Source organism: Homo sapiens, chromosome 20 (assembly GCF_000001405.40).
Source record: "Homo sapiens chromosome 20, GRCh38.p14 Primary Assembly".
Classification (NCBI taxonomy): Eukaryota; Metazoa; Chordata; class Mammalia; order Primates; family Hominidae; genus Homo; species Homo sapiens.
In genome coordinates this window covers 36,715,072-36,734,195 of record NC_000020.11, presented here as the reverse complement: position 1 = coordinate 36,734,195, position 19,124 = coordinate 36,715,072, and the positions used below count along the sequence as shown (strand labels likewise).

Below are 19,124 nucleotides of genomic sequence, written 5' to 3'. Positions count from 1 at the left end.
TCGCTCTGTCACTCAGGCTGGAGTGCAATGGCACGATCTCAGCTCACTGCAAAGGTGATCCGCCTGCCTTGGCCTCCCAAAGTGCTGGGATTACAGGCGTGAGCCACCGTGCCCAGGCATGTCACCTCTTTCAGCCTCAGTTTCTTCATGTCTGTTGGTAGCCATGATGCCAGTGCCTCAGTGTTTTAGCTCACGGTGCCATCATAATAATCCAGTGAGATGTTAAATGTGAAGGTGCTCTGTAGATTGGAAAGTGCTGTAATGATTACTCATATAGCCACTGTTCAAAGGTATAAAGAGAGAGGATGTGAATCTGTTTGCTTAGGAGCTCTGCTGACTGCCTTCCCAGCCAGTCCCGTGGCCACTTCCTGTGGCTTTCTAACCATAACTGCTTCAGCACCAGCTCCAGCTGACCCTTTCCAGATTATTCTCTCCAGTATGCCCCCTTTGTTTGTTGCCGTCATTCTGTGTGTTTTTTATTTTTTTTTATTTTTTTTTTGAGATGGAGTCTCGCTCTGTCACCCAGGCTAGAGTGTAGTGGCGTGATCTCGGCTCACTGCAAGCTCTGCCTCAGCCTGCCGAGTAGCTGGACTACAGGCACCTGCAACCTCTCCCGGCTAATTTTTTGTATATTTAGTAGAGACGGGGTTTCACCATGTTGGCCAGGATGGTCTCAATCTCTTGCCCTCGTGATCCGCCCGCCTTGGCCTCCCAAAGTGCTGGGATTACAGGCGTGAGCCACCGCGCCCGGCCATACCTTCATTCTGTTTTGGTTGTCTGTCTGCAATCTTGCCAAAATCAAAGGTGATTGACTCCGCCCCTAGAATACTAGCTAGCGGCCTGGTGTCAGCACATCCTGGCAAGGCCTGACAAAGGCCAAACTTGGTCATGGGAAAAAGCTGTAAAACAAGACAGCTTGCAGTTTCAAAAGCCAATAACTTTCTTATTGTTCTTATTGTCTTTATTAAACTAACAAAGAAATTTATATGTGCATATATATATATATATATATATATATATATATTTTTTTTTTTTTTTTTTTTTTTTTTGAGACAGGATCGTGTTCCGTCACCCAGGCTGGAGTGCAGTGGTTTAATCTCAGCTTGCTGTAGCCTTCACCTTCTGGGCTCAAGCAGTCTTCCCACCTCAGCCTCCTGACTAGCTGGGACTACAGGCACACGTCATCACACCCGGCTAATTTTTGTATTTTTTATAGACACAGGGTCTTGCCATGTTGCCCGGGCTGGTCTCAAACTCCTGGGCTCAAGCAATCCACCCTCCTTGGCCTCCCGAAATGCTAGATTAGAGGCATGAGCCACCTTGCCTCGCCAAAGCAATGTTTTTAAGTGCTTGAAATCTCAGTGAGCTTCATCTGACTAAATGGACACAGTGCAGAATGAGATACAAGCTGAGACCCTCATGTCCCCAGGGTCAGGCCAAGTGTACCCTCCTGCTTATTTGCTGAGTGATCTCCAGCAAGCGGTTGACCCTCACTAGGCTAATACCTGGGGAAATGCTTAGGATTGTAGTAAGGCTCATGCTGGTGGGGAGGAATGTGAAGTACTACTTCTACAGGGAGCTTCAGGATCACAGAATTCCAGCCCTGTCAGGGACTCAAAAAGGTCATCCTGCCCAATCTTTTCCCTTGACAGATGGGGTAACTGAGGCCCAGAAAGGGAAAATGCTTTGCTCAGCACCACTGAGCTATGTAGGGGCCCATTTAGGTTTAGAATCCACATCTGATGTGCTTACATGCTCTTTCCATTACTGGAAGAATCCATGCGTCTCTGGGTGTCTTTTTTCTGAGTGAACAAAGGATTGCACTCTGTATTATCACGCTTTAAACGGTGTTCTGCAGAGCCCTAGTGGTCTCACCACCACTTCAACCAAAGCCTCTACATGTTTTCTGTTTTCTATTTCGGAGTTTTGCTGTAAAACTTGAAAGTCACTGATCTTGTTAATCTTTTAAAGCCCCTCCCAGTGTGTGTCTCTCCTGGATTCCTGGTGACATTTTTGCTTGCATTTCAATTCAGAAATGTTAGATTCTATATTTCTATTATTTATTTATTTAGTTTGAGACAGGGTCTCACTCTGTTGCCCAGGCTGGACTGCAGCGGTGCAGTCGTGGCTCGCTGCAGCCTCAGCCTCCTGGGTTTAGGTGATCCTCCCACCTCAGCCTCCTGAGTGGCTGATACTACAGGCACATACCATCACACCCTGCTAATTGTTTAATTTTTTGTAGAGATGGGGTCTCACTGTGTTGCTCAGGCTGGTCTTGAGCTCCTGGACTCAAGTGATCCTCCCACCTCCCAAAGTGCTGGGATTATGGATTTGATCCACTATGCCAACTAACTTCTATATTTCTTTTCTTTCTTTTTTTTTTTTTGAGATGGAGTCTTGCTCTGTCGCCCAGGCTGGAGCACAGTGGTGCGATCTCGGCTCACTGCAAGCTCTGCCTCCTGGATTCATGCCATTCTCCTGCCTCAGCCTCCCGAGTAGCTGGGACTACAGGTGCCCGCCACCATGCCCAGCTAATTTTTTTGTATTTTTTTAGTAGAGACAGGGTTTCACCATGTTAGCCAGGATGGTCTCGATCTCCTGACCTTGTGATCCACTCGCCTCGGCCTCCCAAAGTGCTGGGATTACGGGTGTGACCCATCGCGCCTGGCCTAATTTCTATATTTCTAAAAAGTGATGTACATAGTCATGGGCTTTTCAGCATGGAGAACTGAACTTCATTTTTCCTAGATTTTAACACCACTGACTTTTACTGTCCAAAGTTAATGGCCCTTTCATAGTCTTCATCCTCCTCCTTTTTTCTTCAGCATTTGACAGTTTTCCTCCACTTTTGTGTAAATCTCTCTTCTCCCTTGAATTCTTTGACATTGTATTTCTGCCTTTCCTCTAGCATCTCTGAACATTTTTTCTTTGTCTCTTACTGGTTCTTTCTTTTCCATCACTGAGTTGTCCTTCAGAAGAGCCCAGGCCTACAGACCTCCTTATCTCTGGTTTGGTGGTCGTTTGGAGGCTTACCTCACTCATTCTCACTCCCACCTGTGCTCAGGTCTCTCTTGGATTCCTGACTGAAATTGATTTTCTTTTTAACAAATCAGTTTCTCTGTTACTTTTTCTCAGCTCACTAATTTCCATTCATTGTTCCATAATTCTTTTATCTCCCCAACTGAAAACTTTGGCAAAATCTAACTCTTCTCTGACCTTGTTCTACTTTTTTTCTTTCTTTCTTTTTTTTTTTTTTTCGAGACAGCATCTCCCTCTGTTGCCCAGGCTGGAGTGCAGTGGCGCGATCTTGGCTCACTCCAACCTCCTCCTCCCAGTTTTAAGTGATTCTCATGCCTCAGCCTCCCAAGTAGCTGGAATTACCACCACGCCTGGCTAATTTTTGTTTGGTTAATAGTGACGGGGTTCTACCATATTGGCCAGGCTGGTCTCGAACTCCTGGCCTCAAATAATTCTCCCATCTCGGCCTCCCACAGTGCTAGGATTATAGGCATGAGCCACTGTGCCCTGGCCAACCTTGTGCTATTTTTACCAACTTTATATCCCAGAGCTCCCCCTCCTTTTTTTTTATTTTTTTCACATTTCGTAATTTCAGGAGCCTGACAGACCCTTGTTACCTTTCAGCGAGGTTTCTGCAAACTATTTTGTTTCTCCAGTATGTTCACATTTTAGTTGATTGGACCTGCTGAGTCTTTAAAAAATCGCATCTTAGCCTGGGCAACATAGTAAGACCTGTTTCTACCAAAAAACAAAAATTAGCCAGGCATAGTGGTATATGTCTGTAGTCCTTAGCTCTTTGGGAGGCTGAGGCGGGAGGATTGCTTGACCATTGGAATTCAAGGTTACAGTGAGCTAAGATGGTGCCACTGCACTCCAGCCGAGTGACAAAGCAAGACCCTGTCTCCAAAAAAACAATTTTTTTTTTTTTTTGGAGACAGAGTCTCGCTCTGTCGCCCGGGCTGGAGTGCAGTGGCACAATCTCACCTCACTGCAACCTCTGCCTCCCAGGTTCAAGCGCGTCTCCTGCTTCTGCCTCCCGAGTAGCTGGGATTACAGGCACGTGCTATCATGCCCGGCTAATTTTTGTATTTTTGGTAGACACTAGGTTTCACCACGTTGGCCAGGCTGGTCTCAAACTCCTGACCTCAGGTGATCTGCCCGCCTTGGCCTCCTAAAGTGCTGGGATTACAGGCGTGAGCCACCGTGCCCGGCCCCTAAAACATTTAAAAATAAAAAATAAAAGTTCCATCTAGTTTACTGAAATTTTGGAAGAAGGCAGGACGAAATCAAATTAATGGAGTCTTCCTTTACCCCATCCTCACTGATCTCTATTGAAGATTGTTGCTAATTGGCTGGGCATGGTGGCTCATGCCTGTAATTCTAGCACTTTGGGAGGCTGACGTGGGTGGATCGCTTGAGCTCAGGAGTTAGAGACCAGCCTGGGCAACAAAGTGCAACCCTGACACTACAAAACGTACAAAAATTAGCCAGGCGTGGTTGCGTGTGCCTGTGGTCCCAGCTACTTGGAAGGGTGAGGTAAGAGAATGGCTTGAGCCTGGAAGACAGAGGTTGCAGGTAGCCGAGATTGTGCCACTGCACTCTAGCCTGGGTGACAGAGCCAAACTCTGTCTCAAAAAAAAAAAAGATTGTTGCTAATAATAATGAAGGCTTTCAGTTCATCTCCTCACCTCAGATTATCTCCATCTCTCCTCAGTGATGAGGTCACATGTTAGACTCTCATCACTTAAAACTGATCATATCTGAGATCCTAAACAAGATTCCCAGGTGATAGATTTTGAGGCTTGCTGTTCTAACAAGCAAGAAATAGCCCTTGCCTCTGAAACTGTTTGCCAAGTAATAGCTGGAACTTCATTTCTCTTTTCTCTACTCATTCCACATCCTCTATGCCCTTAGCGTTATAACTACTGAGATAGTGAGGGCTCTTGTCCTGGTGTGATGACTCAGAGCTTCATTTCTAAGGTGTCTGAGTCGTTGGTATGTATAGGATTGCTTTAGCCTTCTCTTACCTCAAGGAGGTGCCACAGGCTGGGTAAAGAGGAAAAAACTTGCTCAGGGTCCTACAATCAGTAGATGGGGCCTGGCACAGACATTATGGTATATGAGTTGAGTATCCCTTATCCAAAATGCCTTGAACAGCCTGGAAGCAGTGGCTTACACCTGTAATCCCAGCGCTTTGGGAGGCTGAGGTCGGCGGATCACCTGAGGTCAGGAGTTCGAGACCAGCCTGGCCAACATGGTGAAACCTTGTCTCTACTAAAAATACAAAACTTAGCTGGGCATGGTGGCACCTATAGTCCCAGCTACTTGGGAGATGGAGGCAGGAGAATCGCTTGAGCCCAGGAGGCGGAGGTTGCAGTGAGCCGCGATTGAGCCACTGCACTCCAGCCTGGGCGACAGAGTGAGACTCTGTCTCAAAACCTCCCCCCCAAAAAAACAAAAAAACCAAAATGCCTTGAACCAGATGTGTTTCAGATTTTGGATTTTTTCTGATTTTGCAATATGCATTATACTTACTAGCGTTTAAGCATCCCAAATCTGAAAATGTGAAATCTGAAATGCTCCAAAACCCCAATCTTTTTGAGCACAGACTTGATGTTCAAGGGAGATGCCCACTGGAGTTTGTTTATGTATGTATGTGTCCATGTATCCATCCACCCATCCATCCATCTATCTATCCATCTGTCTATCCATCTGTCCTTTGTCACTTCTTCCAGGCATCCATTGGAGCATTTTGGATTTCAGATTTTTTAATTTGGGATGCTCAACCTGTAATGGGAAAAGCAAAGGTTTTAAAATCCTTTCCCTGGCTGGGCGCAGTGGCTCACGCCTGTAATCCCAGCACTTTGGGAGGCTGAGGCAGGTAGATCACGAGGTCAGGAGATCGAGACCATCCTGGTTAACAGTGAAACCCCGTCTCTACTAAAAATACAAAAAAATTAGCCGGGCGTTGTGGCAGGTGCCTGTAGTCCCAGCTACTCGGGAGGCTGAGGCAGGAGAATGGCGTGAACTTGGGAGGCGGAGTTTGCAGTGAGCCGAGATCGTGCCACTGCACTCCACCCTGGGCGACACAGCGAGACTCCATCTCAAAAAAAAAAAAATCCTTTCCCTATTATTCACTTATTTAGAGGCAGGGTCTTGCTGTGTTGCCCAGGCTGGACTCAAACTCTTGGGCTGAAGCAATCCTCCTGCATTAGCCTTTCAAGTAGCTGACACTATAGTTGCATGCTACCGCTCCTGGCTCTTTATTACTTAGATGTGGGGATTTTAGAAGTTACTTAACTTCTCTGAGCCTAAATTTCTCATCTATAAAGAAATAGGCCGGGCACGGTGGCTCATGCCTGTAATCCCAGCACTTTGGGAGGCTGAGGAGGGCAGATCACGAGGTCAGGAGATCGAGACCATCCTGGCTAACACGGTGAAACTCCGTCTCTACTAAAAATACAAAAAATTAGCCGGGCGTGGTGGCGGGCGCCTGTAGTCCCAGCTACTCAGGAGGCTGAGGCAGGAGAATGGCGTGAACCCAGGAGGCGGAGCTTGCAGTGAGCTGAGATGTGCCACTGCACTCCAGCCTGGGCGACAGAGCGAGACTCCGTCTCAAAAAAAAAAAAGAAAAGAAAAGAAAAAAGAAAGAAAGAAAGGCTGGGTGCGGTGGCTCATGCTGGTAATCCCACCACTTTGGGAGGCCAAAGCAGGCGGATTACCTGAGGTCAAGAGTTCGAGACCAGCCTGGCCAACATGGTGAAACCCCGTCTCTACTAAAAATATAAAAATTAGCCGGTCCTGGTGGCAGATGCCTGTAATCCCAGCTACTCGGGAGGCTGAGGCAGGAGAATCGCTTGAACCCAAGAGGCGGAGGTTGCAGTGAGCTGAGATCGTGCCACTGCACTCCAGCCTATGTGATGAGTAAAACTCTGTCTCAGAGAAAAAAATAAAGATATCTAGGCTGGGCGGGGTGGCTCACACTTGTAATCCCAGCACTTTGGGAGACTGAAGCTGGCAGATTACTTGAGGGCAGGAGTTTGAGACCAGCCTTGCTAACAGGGAAGCCCTGTCTTTACTGAAAAATACAAAAATTAGCTGGGCATGGAGGCATGCGCCTATAGTCCCAGCTACTTGGGAGGCTGAGGCAGGAGAATCACTTGAACCTGGGAGGCGGAAGTTGCAGTGAGCCAAGATCGCCCCACTGTGCTCCAGCCTGGGCAACAGAGCAAGACTCTTGTCTCAGGAAAAAAAAAAAAAAAAGAAAGAAAGATATCTACCAGAGAGGATTGTTATGAGGATTAAACATAAGGTGCCGAGATTATAATTCCTGACAGAGTAGGTAGCCACCTTTTCTCCTTTCCCTTTCTAGCCATTTGGTATCAGATTCATTTCCTTAATTTGAAGATGGCTAGTTTTTCCTTATCAATCCTCCCTCCTACTCATATGACTAGGAAACAGGCAAAAATTATTGACTGCAATTTATAAAATCCCTACTTGCCTTTTGAAAATATTAATAGCTTTTAGTACCTGTATGGGATCTGGCAGCCATACCATTTGTACAGATGCCGGAACTGCAGGCCTTGGATCCCCAGGAGGGAGCCCGTCTGTGCAGCTGAGGGATCTGGAGATGGAGTTTTCCACCAGAATCTTAGTTTTCTTGTATATGTTATAAAACTGCTCATTGGCAAGGGCTTGAGACATTGAAAGCGGAGCAAAAATGGAGTCTCCAGAAGAATGCATTAGATCCCCTAATAGTGGAAGGTGAATGTCTACTGCCAAGTTGCCAAATCCTGAGTCACCCTGGAGCAGCTTACTGTCCTGCACAACATTGTCGCCTGAGCCTGCATTGGGCCTAGCTGATAGGGACAGCCTTCTCATTTAATTTGTGTCTTTGTTTAAGTGTTTGTTGGTGTAAAAATTGCATTTTTCTTCATCTTTAAAAAAATACTTAGGGATGGGTATGGTGGCTCACACCTGTAATCCCGCACTTTGGGAAGCCAAGGCAGGGGGATTGCTTGAGTCTAGGAGTTCAAGAGTAGTCTGGACAACATAGTGAAACTCCTGTCTCTAAAAAAAATGTTTTTTAAGTTAGCAAGGCATGGTGGCACATGCCCATTGTCTCAGCTGTGTGAGAGGCTGGGGTGGGAGGATTGCTTGAGGCTGGGAGGTTGAGAGCCATGATTGTGCCACTGCACTCCAGCCTAGGTGAAAGAGTAAGACCCCATCTCAAAAAAAAAAAAAAAAAAAAGGAACACTAGGTGAATGCCAGTCACTTTGGACTTGAGGGCACCTTAGGCCTCTCTCTGACCCTTTGACAGGCCCACCCATGTGGAGTCATATTTGAATAATTCCCATCTTGAAGTGCATTGCTTTCCAGTGAGTGAATTAAAGTAGGGATAAAGTGGGTGAGTTGAAAAAACAATTTCAGGAAATCACCATTTAAGTGGGAAAAAGAAAAACAAGTGGAAATAGGCTAAAATGGTTTTCTTTAGGTGGAAGGACAATGAGTAAATTATCTGTTCATTATTCTGTGATTTCTGTATTTTCTTTTTTTTCTTTTTTTTTTTTTTTTTTAGACGGAGTCTCATTCTGTCACCCAGGCTGGAGTGCAGTGGTGCGATCTCAGCTCACTGCAACTTCTGCCTCCCAGGCTCAAGCGATTCTCCTGCCTCAGCCTCCCGAGTAGCTGAGATTACAGAGCTTGCCACCACACCCAGCTAATTTTTGTATTGTTAGTAGAGACAGGGTTTCACCATGTTGTCCAGACTGGTCTCGAACCTCAGGTGATCCACCCACCTTGGCCTCCCAGCGTGCTGGGATTACAGGCGTGAGCCACCATTCCCGGCCAATTTCCATATTTTCTTCTTTTCTGTTTTTTGAGACAGGGTCTCACTCTGTCGCCCAGGCTGGAGTGCGGTGGCGCAATCTCAGCTTACTGCAACCTCCACCTCCAAGGATCAAGCAATTCTCCTGCCTCAGCCTCCTGAGTAGCTGGGATTACAGGCGTGCACCACCACACCTGTCTAATTTTTTTTATTTTTAGTAGAGATGGGGTTTCTCCATGTTGGCCAGGCTGGTCTTGAACACCTGACCTCAAATGATCCACCTGCCTCGGCCTCCCAAAGTGCTGGGATTACAGGCGTGAGCCACTGCGCCCGGCCGATTTTCATATTTTCTAAAGTGAGCACATATTGCTTTTATAAAAGGGAAAAAGCTGGTTTTGTTTTGTTTTGTTTTTAAATTTTTGAGACAGAGTCTTGTTCTGTTGCCCAGGCTGGAGTACAGTTGACAGATCTTGGCTCACTGCAACCTCCGCCTCCTGGGTTCAAATGATTCTCGTGCCTCAGCCTGCTGGAGTAGCTGGAATTACAGGCGTGTGCCACCACACCCAGCTAATCTTTGTACTTTTAGTAGAAATGGGGTTTCACCATGTTGACCAGGCTGGTCTCGAACTCCTGACCTCAGGTGATCCATCCATCTCCGCCTCCCAAAGTGCTGGGATTACAGGTGCGAGCCACCGGGCCCGGCCGGAAAACGCTTTTAAATTGCCATTTAAAATAACTGATAAATAGTAAAGTTCAAATAAAAAGTAGCCACAGTTTGTAGTGTTATTAATAAACAAACATGGAGTAGATTCCAGTTAGGCCAATATTTTAAGAGTTAAGTGGGGACTGTGAAAAAGAGAATGTAGATGCTGGCTGAAACTCACTGTTTAAGAGTCAAGCCACCTCACCCCCTTTTGAAATGTGACTGGTATAAAAACAAAAAAAGATTCAACTTCTGGGCATTAAGTAGCTCAATCAAGTATATGGGTGCCTGCGATCTGACAAAAGAACCACTGTCCTATAGGGAGGTTAAACATCATCAAATTTGTGGTCTCTAGGTGGTTCACACTTTTGGAATATTCACAGTTAGCATGTGGGGTTCATAGCCTGAGGAGTGTTCTCAATAGACATCCTCTGAGTCCCTTGAATAAATGATAAGAGGGCTTTTTTGTTAGTCTGTTCTAACATAGGCATAGCTGGGAGCAGGATTTATTTCAGTGTGTTGGCAAATAATAGCTAAAAGGTAGCCTGGAACACATACCCTCTCCATAGGTAATTAAATCAAAATCATGTCATTCTATCTCTAGAAGGTAAACAGAAAAGTGGATTAATATAGTACACTAGGCCGGGCGCAGTGGCTCACGCCTGTGATCCTAACACTTTGGGAGGCTGAGGTGTGTGGATCACTTGAAGGCAGGAGTTCAAGACCAGCCGGGCTAACATGGTGAAACCCTGTCTCTACTAAAAATACAAAAATTAGCTGGGCATGGTAGCAGGTGCCCATAGTCCCAGCTTCTCGGGAGACTGAGGCACGAGAATCGCTTGAGCCCAGGAGGCGGAGGTTCCAGTGAACCACGATTGTGCCACTGCACTCCAGCCTGGGTGACAGAGCAAGACTAGGTCTCAAAAAAAAAAAAACAAAAACACCAGACACACACACACACACACACACACACACACACACACACACTAGACTAATATCTTTTGAAGGCTTTCTTGATTTCCACCAATCAGACATAATTGCTTCTCCTTTGAATTCCTATGGCCCTTCTTTTTATTTATCAATTTGTAGATCAACATCATCTCTACTCTTTAGAGGCAGGGACCCTTTTTGTATCTTCCATAGTGCAATGGGTACTCAATAAATGGTTGTTAAATGTAAATCCCCAACTCTGAATTAACATTTTTCCTGACTTGATAGGTTTAGGGCCAAGACAAAAAGGATGATGCCTGAAGCTTTGAAGTCTAGGTGGGAATCACTTTCCTGCAATATTGAGTATTTGCAGCCTATCCCCATGGCTTCTTGCATGGTGAGATAGAAGAAGAATTTGTAGTTCATTACCCTGCCTACCTCTCTCCAACTTGTCTCCTCTCTCTGAGCTCCCCATTCTGCTCTCCCTATGTATTAGTTCTCTATTGCTATAGATCACTCTAAAACAAAATTATTATCTCTCATGGTTTCTGTGGGTCAGAAACTTGGGAGCAGGCTTGGTAGGGTGGTTCTGACTTAGAGTCTCTCATGTGGTTGCAGTCAGGTGTCCCTGGGGCTGTAGCTATCCGAACTCTTGACTGGGGCTGGAGGATTCATTTGCAAGGTAACTCACACACATGGCTAGCAGGTTGGTGCTGGCAAGTTGGTTCCTCTCCACATGGGCCTCGCCAGAGGGCTGTTTGAGTGTCCTGATGATTTGGCAGCTAGCTTCCCCTAGAACTAGTAGTTTATAGTGTCTTGAAGCACAAAGTGTAATGCGTTTTATGATGCAGCTTCAGAAGTCACATATTGTTGCTTCCTCCATATTCTATTAGTTACACGAGCCATCCCTGATTTATTTGGGTGGGCGATTATACATATGTGTGAATGAATATCAGGAGTCAGGGATCACTGGGCTCGTTGAAGGCCATCTTGGAGCTGACTACCATACCTTTCACCCACTGCTGTGATTCCCCAAATGAGGATTAGTAAGCTTAGCCTTGGTTCCCTCCTCTTTCATTCCCACTGCCATTCCTAATTCAAGTCCTCATCCTGCAGTAATAATCTTCAATTTTTGTCCCCGCTTAATCCGTCTTCCAGTCTGTTCCAAGCATAGTTTTGAGTATGTTGTTTCTTTATCCGTCTTCAGTAACTAAAACGTGTGCTCCATGAGAGCAAAGACTATTGTATTAATTGTATTAATCTGTTGCTGCATAAAAATATTACCGCAAATGTAGTAGCCTAAAACAACACATATTCATTGTCTCTCAGTTTCTGTGGTTCAGGAGTCTGGTGTGGGCTGTGTAGGTCCTCTGCAACATGGCGATCAAGGTGTCGGTCAGCTTCTTCTCTGACACTCAGCTGGGGAAGGATCTGCTTCCAGGCTCCTGTTGTTGGCAGCATTCAGTTCCTTGCAGATTGTTGAACTGAAGGTCTCAGTTTCTTGCTGTCTTTCTGCTGGAGGCTGCTCTCAGTTACTTGTTACGTGGCCCTCTCACAGCACATCAGCTTGCCTCTTCAGACCTAGCAGGGGAGAGTGTCCCTCAGCAAGACAGATGTGAAAATATTATATAATGTAATCATGCAAAGTCACTCATGTACATTCCATCACTTTTGCCGTATTCTAATGGTTAAAAGCAAGCCACAGGCCCTGCGCACACTCACTGGGGGTATTAGGCAAGGATGTGAATACCAGGAGGCAAGAATCCTATAGACCAGGTTAGTGTCTATCTGCCGTAACTATGTGTCTTTAGCACCCTGAGCAGGGCATGGCACAGAGTAAGTCTCATATTTGAATGAATGGGTGTACTGTGACTATTATGTTTCCAACTTCTGGCTTAAGCCTTTTTCTTCACTTCTTTCTTTTCTGTTTCAGAGTTACTGATTTATTCTTGAGATTCCTCTACTCTCGTTATCTGACCTCATGGATGAACTTCAGGATGTTCAGCTCACAGAGATCAAACCACTTCTAAATGATAAGGTAAAGACTTTTCTGTTTTCACTAAAATATGGACAAGCCTTTTCTTCTGATAGTATTTCATTTTCTGTATCATCTAAATAGTAACTTAAAACATATTTAGCTTGACTTTCAATGAAAGGAATACTTTAAAAATCTATTTCTTTTTTTTTTTGAGACGGTGTCTCACTCTGTTGCCAGGCTGGAGTGCGGTGGTGCAATCTCGGCTCACTGCAACCTCTGACTCCCTGGTTCAAGCAATTCTCTTGCCTCAGCCTCCCAAGTAGCTGAGATTACAGGCACGTGTCATCACGCCCAGCTAATTTTTGTATTTTTAGTAGAGACAGGGTTTCATCATGTTGGCCAGGATGGTCTCGATCTCCTGACCTCGTGATCCTCCCGCCATGGCCTCCCAAAGTACTGGGATTACAGGTGTGAGCCACTGTGCCAGGCCAAAAAATCTATTTCTTAAGCATCTTTTTGATGTTTCCCCCCTTTTATTTCTTCCTACTTTTGTTTCCATGAGCCACGTTCAATCACGTTATCTTTGAGATTTTTGTATTTTACAGATAGAGATGCTAAGGGAAAAAATAATGTGGCAATGTTAAGCAGAAAGCATGAGGGTGGGGCTGGGCGCAGTGGCTCACACCTGTAATCCCAGCACTTTGGGAGGCCAAGGCAGGTGGATCACTTGAGGTCAGGAGTTTGAGACCAGCCTGGACAACAAGGTGAAACCTTGTCTCTACTATAAATAGAAAAATTAGCTAGGTGTGGTGGCACACACCTGTAATCCCAGCTACTCGGGAGGCTGAGGCAGGAGAATTGCTAGAACCCAGGAGGTGGAGTGGAGGTTGCAGTGAGCCAAGACTGCGCCACTGCACCCCAGTCTGGGTGACTCAGTGAGACTCTGTCTCAAAAAAAAAAAAAAAGAAAAGAAAAAAGAAGTATGAGGGTGGAGTTTGACTCAGAATCCAAGTGTCTTGACTTTCAGTTTCAATAAGGAAAATTTACCATCCATGGCTGGTGATGTGCGTAGGCTGCAGTGTTCTCCCTGAAGTTTGCCAAGTCTATGATGTGGTCTTTCTGTCAATATGACATCAGGGAGGACTGGATGTCAGTAATATACCACATTTTTATGTTAGTGTCAGAGAACTACACAAGGAGCAGATGAGACCACAGTTGATGACCACTAGACACTGGTGTGATATGATTTACCAAAAGAAAGGTTTTGGCCAGGTGCAGTGGCTTATGCCTGTAATCCCAGCACTTTGGGAGGCCAAGGCTGACGGATCACTTGAGGTCAGGAGTTTGAGATCAGCCTCGCCAACATGGTGAAATTCCATCTCTACTAAAAATACAAAAATTAGCTGGGCGTGGTGGTGCAGGCCTGTAGTCCCAGCTACTCAGGAGGCTGAGGCAGGAGAATCACTTGAACCCGGAAGGCAGAGGATGCAGTGAGCCGAGATCATGCCACTGCACTCCAGCCTGGGCGACAGAGCAAAACTCTGGCTCAAAAAAAAGAAAAGAAGTTTTGTTTTCTCTCTTGTTCCTTATTGTTCGGTAAATGTGCCTGAAATTCCTTCTTTTTTTTTTTTTGAGACGGAGTCTCACTCTGTCACCCAGGCTGGAGTGCAGTGGTACAATCTCGGCTCACTGCAAGCTCCGCCTCCCGGTTTCAAGTGATTCTTCTGCCTCAGCCTCCGGAGTGGCTGGGATTACAGGCGTGCACCTGGCTAATTTTTGTATTTTTAGTAGAGACAGGGTTTCACCATGTTGGTCAGGCTGGTCTCGAACTCCTGACCTTGTGATCTACCTGCCTTGGCCTCCTAAAGTGCTGGGATTACAGGCATGAGCCACCATGCCCAGCTGCTTGAAATTCCTTCTTTTCCACTCTATTCTTTTGGTGTATTGTCATTGTCCCCTCTTGAAATACTCTTGTAGCTTTGTGTGAGTGAGGCCATGCCATCCTTTCCTGAGGGAGTGTTGACGGAGTGTGAGGATAAAGATGGATGGGCGGAGGGGCGGGGAGGGGGGGTGTGCGGGTGACACCAGGGGATGATCTGTTGCTTATTACTTTTTATCTGCCCAAGGCAAGGCCCTTCACCTGCAGCCTCTGGAGCTGCTGACTTATTTTGTGCTTACTAATTTGCTTTTGAATCCTGCCACCCCTATTTTCATCCCTGTGACCTCTCCATTCCCACTCCCACCCCTTCTTTTATCTTTCACCAGACTTCTCTCTCCCTTGGCAAGCTGCAGGCTTTTTTTTTTTTTTTTTTTGAAACGGAGTCTTGCTCTGTCACCAGGCTCGAGTGCAGTGGCGTGATCTTGGCTCACTGCAACCTCTGCCTCCCGGGTTCAAGCGATTCTCCTGCTTCAGCCTCCCAAGTAGCTGGGACTACAGGTGTGCAACACCATGCCCAGCTAATTTTTGTATTTTGACTAGAGATGGGGTTTCACCATGTTGGCCAGGATGGTCTCGATCTCTTGACCTCTTGATCCACCCGCCTCGGCCTCCAAAAGTGCTGGGATTACAGGCGTGAACTTCCACGCCCGGCCACTGCACGCTTTTTTAACCTCCATTTGGTTTCTCCTGCTGCATCCCCTCATATTTCCAGAAAACTCTCTCCTTTAAGTACCATTTGTGTATGTGTGTATGTGAAGGGCTGTGCCAAAAATGTTGTGCCTAGGAGAGGAGGAAGGAAATAAAATCTGAGCCAGGCACACACCTATAACCTGGCTCACACCTATAATCCAAGCACTTTGGGAGGCTGATGCTGGAGGATCACCTGAAGCCAGAAGTTCAAGACCAGCCTGGGCAACAAAGGGAGATCCTGTCTACCAAAAAATTAAAAAAATGATCCAGGTGTGGTGGCAGATGCCTGTAGTCCCAGCTACTTGGGAGGCTGAGCTGCGAGGATCACTTGAGCCTGGGAGGTTGAGGCTGCAGTGAGCTGTGATTGTGCCACTGCACTCCAGCCTGGGCAACAGAGTGAGACCCTGTCTCAGAAAATAAATAAATAGAGAAAGAGGCTCTCTTTCTCTCTCCCTTCCCCTGCCATATGGGGACACAGCAAGAAGGCAGCTGTCCACAAACCAGGAAGAGATTAATCATGAGAAACTGAACCCTTCTAGAACCTTAATCTTGAACTTTGCAGCCTTCAGAACTGTGAGAAAATAAATTTCTGTTGTTTTAAGCCATCAAGTCTATGTTATTTTGTTATGACAGCCCGAGTAGACTAAGACACAAAGCAGTGTCTCACTTCCTAACATCTATCTGCTCCTCTTTGATAGGCCTATGCTGTTCCTACCCACTTCCCACATTCCACCTTACTCCTTTCTCTCCCTGAGACGTAAGTGCTCCTGTGCCATCACTATTCATGAGAACTCTCTTGGCTCTCGCCAAGCAGGTAGATAGGCAAGAGGCCCTCTTTAGATCATGGCACCTCCAAACAAAGACTTCCACCCCGTTAGCCTCCCTCTCCCCCTCCCCAGTATGTGAATGCTTCTGTCTTTGCGCAGCAAGTGGATGGTTTTGTGTATATAGTAAAAGGTATAATGATAATAATGCCTCTCATCCATTACTTCATTTGAACCTCCCAATAGCTTGATGAGGAAGGAGCACAGATAAATGTATTCCCACATTGCCAGTGAGTAAACGAAGGCTAGGAAAGGTGAAGTAGCTTACTCCTATTGAGTATCAAAGAATGCCTGCTGTATGGCAGGATTTCTCACTGTCGATGTTTTGGGTTGGATAATTGTTTGTTGTGGAACACTGCTCTGTGCATTGTAGAATGTTTAGCAGCATCTTTGGCCTCTACCCACTAGATGCTAATAGCACTCCCCAGTGGTGACAACCAAAAATGTCTCCAGACATTGCCAGATGTCCCTGGGAGGCAAAATTTCCTTGGTTAAGAACCACTGGTATAGAGGAAAAGCCTTCAGATTTGCATAGAAGTAGATGGCTTGAGGGTTTTGTTGTTGTTGTTTTTGCCTGTCCTGCTATGATTTATTATCTCTTATGTGCCAAGTGCTTTACATACATTCTCTCTCTCAGAATATCCCTTTGAGATAGATAGTATTATTCCTACTTCACAGATTAAAAATCCGAATGAAAGGCTGGTTTGCCCAGTAAAGAAGTGGCAAAGCCAGACAGAAACCAAAGTCTTTCCTACTCTTAAAACCTGAGCTGTTTCCACTGTGTTAATCCTATAGATGTTTTGGCATCACCTTTGTGGCTTACCCTGTCTCTTTAAGGAGAAGCCTAAAAATGTGTAGTATTTCACCTTATCCTTCTGTCCATTATTCTCATAAATATACTGAAGACATTGCTGCATCCTCCAGGCTTCAGGAAGCTAAAGGAAGACTAGAACCAACCTTTTACCGTGAAATTTGTCCTGAGATGACTTGTAAGGAGGCATTCTCAATATAGCTTTGAGCAAGGCTTATGTTGTCTCTTGTCATTTGTTGGTACTTTTCCCATTTTATTTTAGTATGCCTGTAATTTTGTCTACGGCTCAGAATTGTCAAGAAGTGGATAATTTTGTCATACTTGTTTTGGCTCTAGTGATGAAAAGAAGCAACCACCAGTACTTTGTTTTGCGGGACAGAAATTGCATGGGCATATGAAATGATTTTTAAAATAGCATTTAACTATTTTCAGAGCACTTTCACCAATAATATCTTATTTTAATCTTCCAGTCTCTTGTAAATAGTTGAAGATATTTTAACTCTATTTTACAGATGACACTGAGAGGTTATCTGATTTGTTCAGAGCTAGTGTCTGTTAAGTTGGTGAAGCCAGGCTAGAACCTACATCTTTTGACTTTGACCTGGACCTGGGGGTCTAGGGTTCTTCCCACCATCTACTGCCTCTTGTACCTGGTTGTTCCAGGCTCCTCACCCAAAAGACCTTGTAATAAACAGGAGAGTAGACTGTTTTGCCTCATTTTCCCTGCCTTCCTCTACCTACTAGGTTCAGATACTACTGAACCCTGTGAAAGCCAAAGGTGAGGCTTGAGAAAACAAGTAGAAGGCCACACTTGGCTTCTGAAGAATTGAGGAAATAGCAGAAAGGGGAATAAATGTTTAGTAGAGAGAACAGAAAAAAGTTATATACTTTGTTTTGGTTGTTACAGTAGAAAGTGAGGTAAATCTTTTTTTTTTTTTTTTTGAGATGGAGTCTCGCTCTGTTGCCCAGGCTGGAGTGCAGTGGCATGATCTCGGCTCACTGCAACCTCTGCCTCCCAGGTTCAAGTGATTCTTCTGCCTCAGCCTCCCAAGTAGCTGGGATTATAGGTACCTGCCACCATGTTCAGCTAGTTTTTGTATTTTTAGTAGAGATGGGGTTTTGCCATGTTGGCCAGGCTGGTCTTGAACTCCTGACTTCAAGTGATCCGTCCGCCTCGGCCTCCCAAAGTGCTGGGATTACAGGCATGAGCCACCGCACCCACCTGAAAGTGAGGTAAATCTTACTGCAGTTTAAGTTTTCCTTTTCTACTAATCACAACATGTAAGCAGAGGAGGGAGGAGGGTGTTAGAACTAGAGGAGGGAGAACCCTGGGAACAACATTTTGTAACCTCCAGGACAACAGAGACAGCCAAAGCGTTTATGCCAAGGGCTTGCTCTGTTGCCCAGGCTGGAGTCCAGTGGCACAATCATGGCTTATTGCAGCCTCCTGGGCTCAAGTGATTCTCCTGCCTCAGCCTCCTGAGTAGCTCTTGCCACCATGCCTGGCTACGTTTTGTATTTTTTTAGAGACGGAGCTTTGCCATGTTGAAACTCTGGGGCTCAAGCCATCCACCCATCTCGGCCTCCCAAAGTGCTGGGATTACAGGCGTGAGCCACTGTGCCTGGCCCCAGGATCTTTTTTTTATTTGAGACAGGGTCTCTGTCATCCAGGTTAGAGTACAGTGGCATGGCCATGGCTTGCTGCAGTCTCTACCACCTGGGTTCAAGCAATTCCCACCTACTTGGGAGGCTACCTTAGCCTCCCAAGTAGTTGGGACCACAGGTGTGCCCACCATGCCTGGCCAATTTTTAAGTTATTTGTAGAGAAGAGGTCTCACTTTGTTGCCCACGCTGATCTCAAACTCCTGAGCTCAAGCAATCCTCCTGCCTCGGCCTCCCAAAGTGCTGGTATTATAGGCATGAGCTACCGCACCCAGCTCCAAGGTTGTTTAAAAAAAAAAAAAACCTAGGGGGAGAGAGAGAAAAGAAGAAACAGCTGTAATTAAAAATAGATTTATTGACATTTTCATCAAAGAATATTCATGAAGTGCTACATCTAGTGTGGACTAGAGTGGGTGTCCCTTAATGTACTAAGACATGATGGTTACATCTGTTGTCAGAAGTGCTCTAGACGGGACTGCAGCAAGAAATGGGTTCCGAAGCAGGTAGTGATGCCACCGTTACAGACCAGATGACCCTCAACCAGTTACAGGAGGCAAGAGATCCACATCTTAGCCACACCTTAGCAGAGTGCCCATGGGATTTTTAGAGTGGAAATTGTACTTTTTCAGCAATCTGCAGAGGATTATCTGATTGTAGATAGTTTTATCCAAGTATCCAACCTCTTTATAAATTTCTTTATGAAGTCTGTTTCTTAGTATATTTTGAAGGTAATGATTGCTA

At 45.7% G+C, this 19,124-nt stretch overlaps 1 protein-coding gene across 8 annotated transcripts in view; it reads left to right on the top strand.

Moving 5' to 3' along the window:
• Window positions 1–19,124, top strand: part of NDRG3 (NDRG family member 3) — a 94,320-nt gene that overhangs the window by 11,895 nt on the left and 63,301 nt on the right. For all 8 annotated transcript variants that reach the window (NR_038370.2, NM_022477.4, XM_011528927.4 and 5 more), the window contains exon 2: window positions 12,413–12,517. Coding sequence is in view for 7 of the 8 variants with exons in the window: in NM_022477.4 (NP_071922.2) it covers window positions 12,461–12,517 (57 nt within the window). In the remaining variant the exon portion in view is untranslated. The remainder of the gene's footprint in view (window positions 1–12,412; window positions 12,518–19,124) is intronic.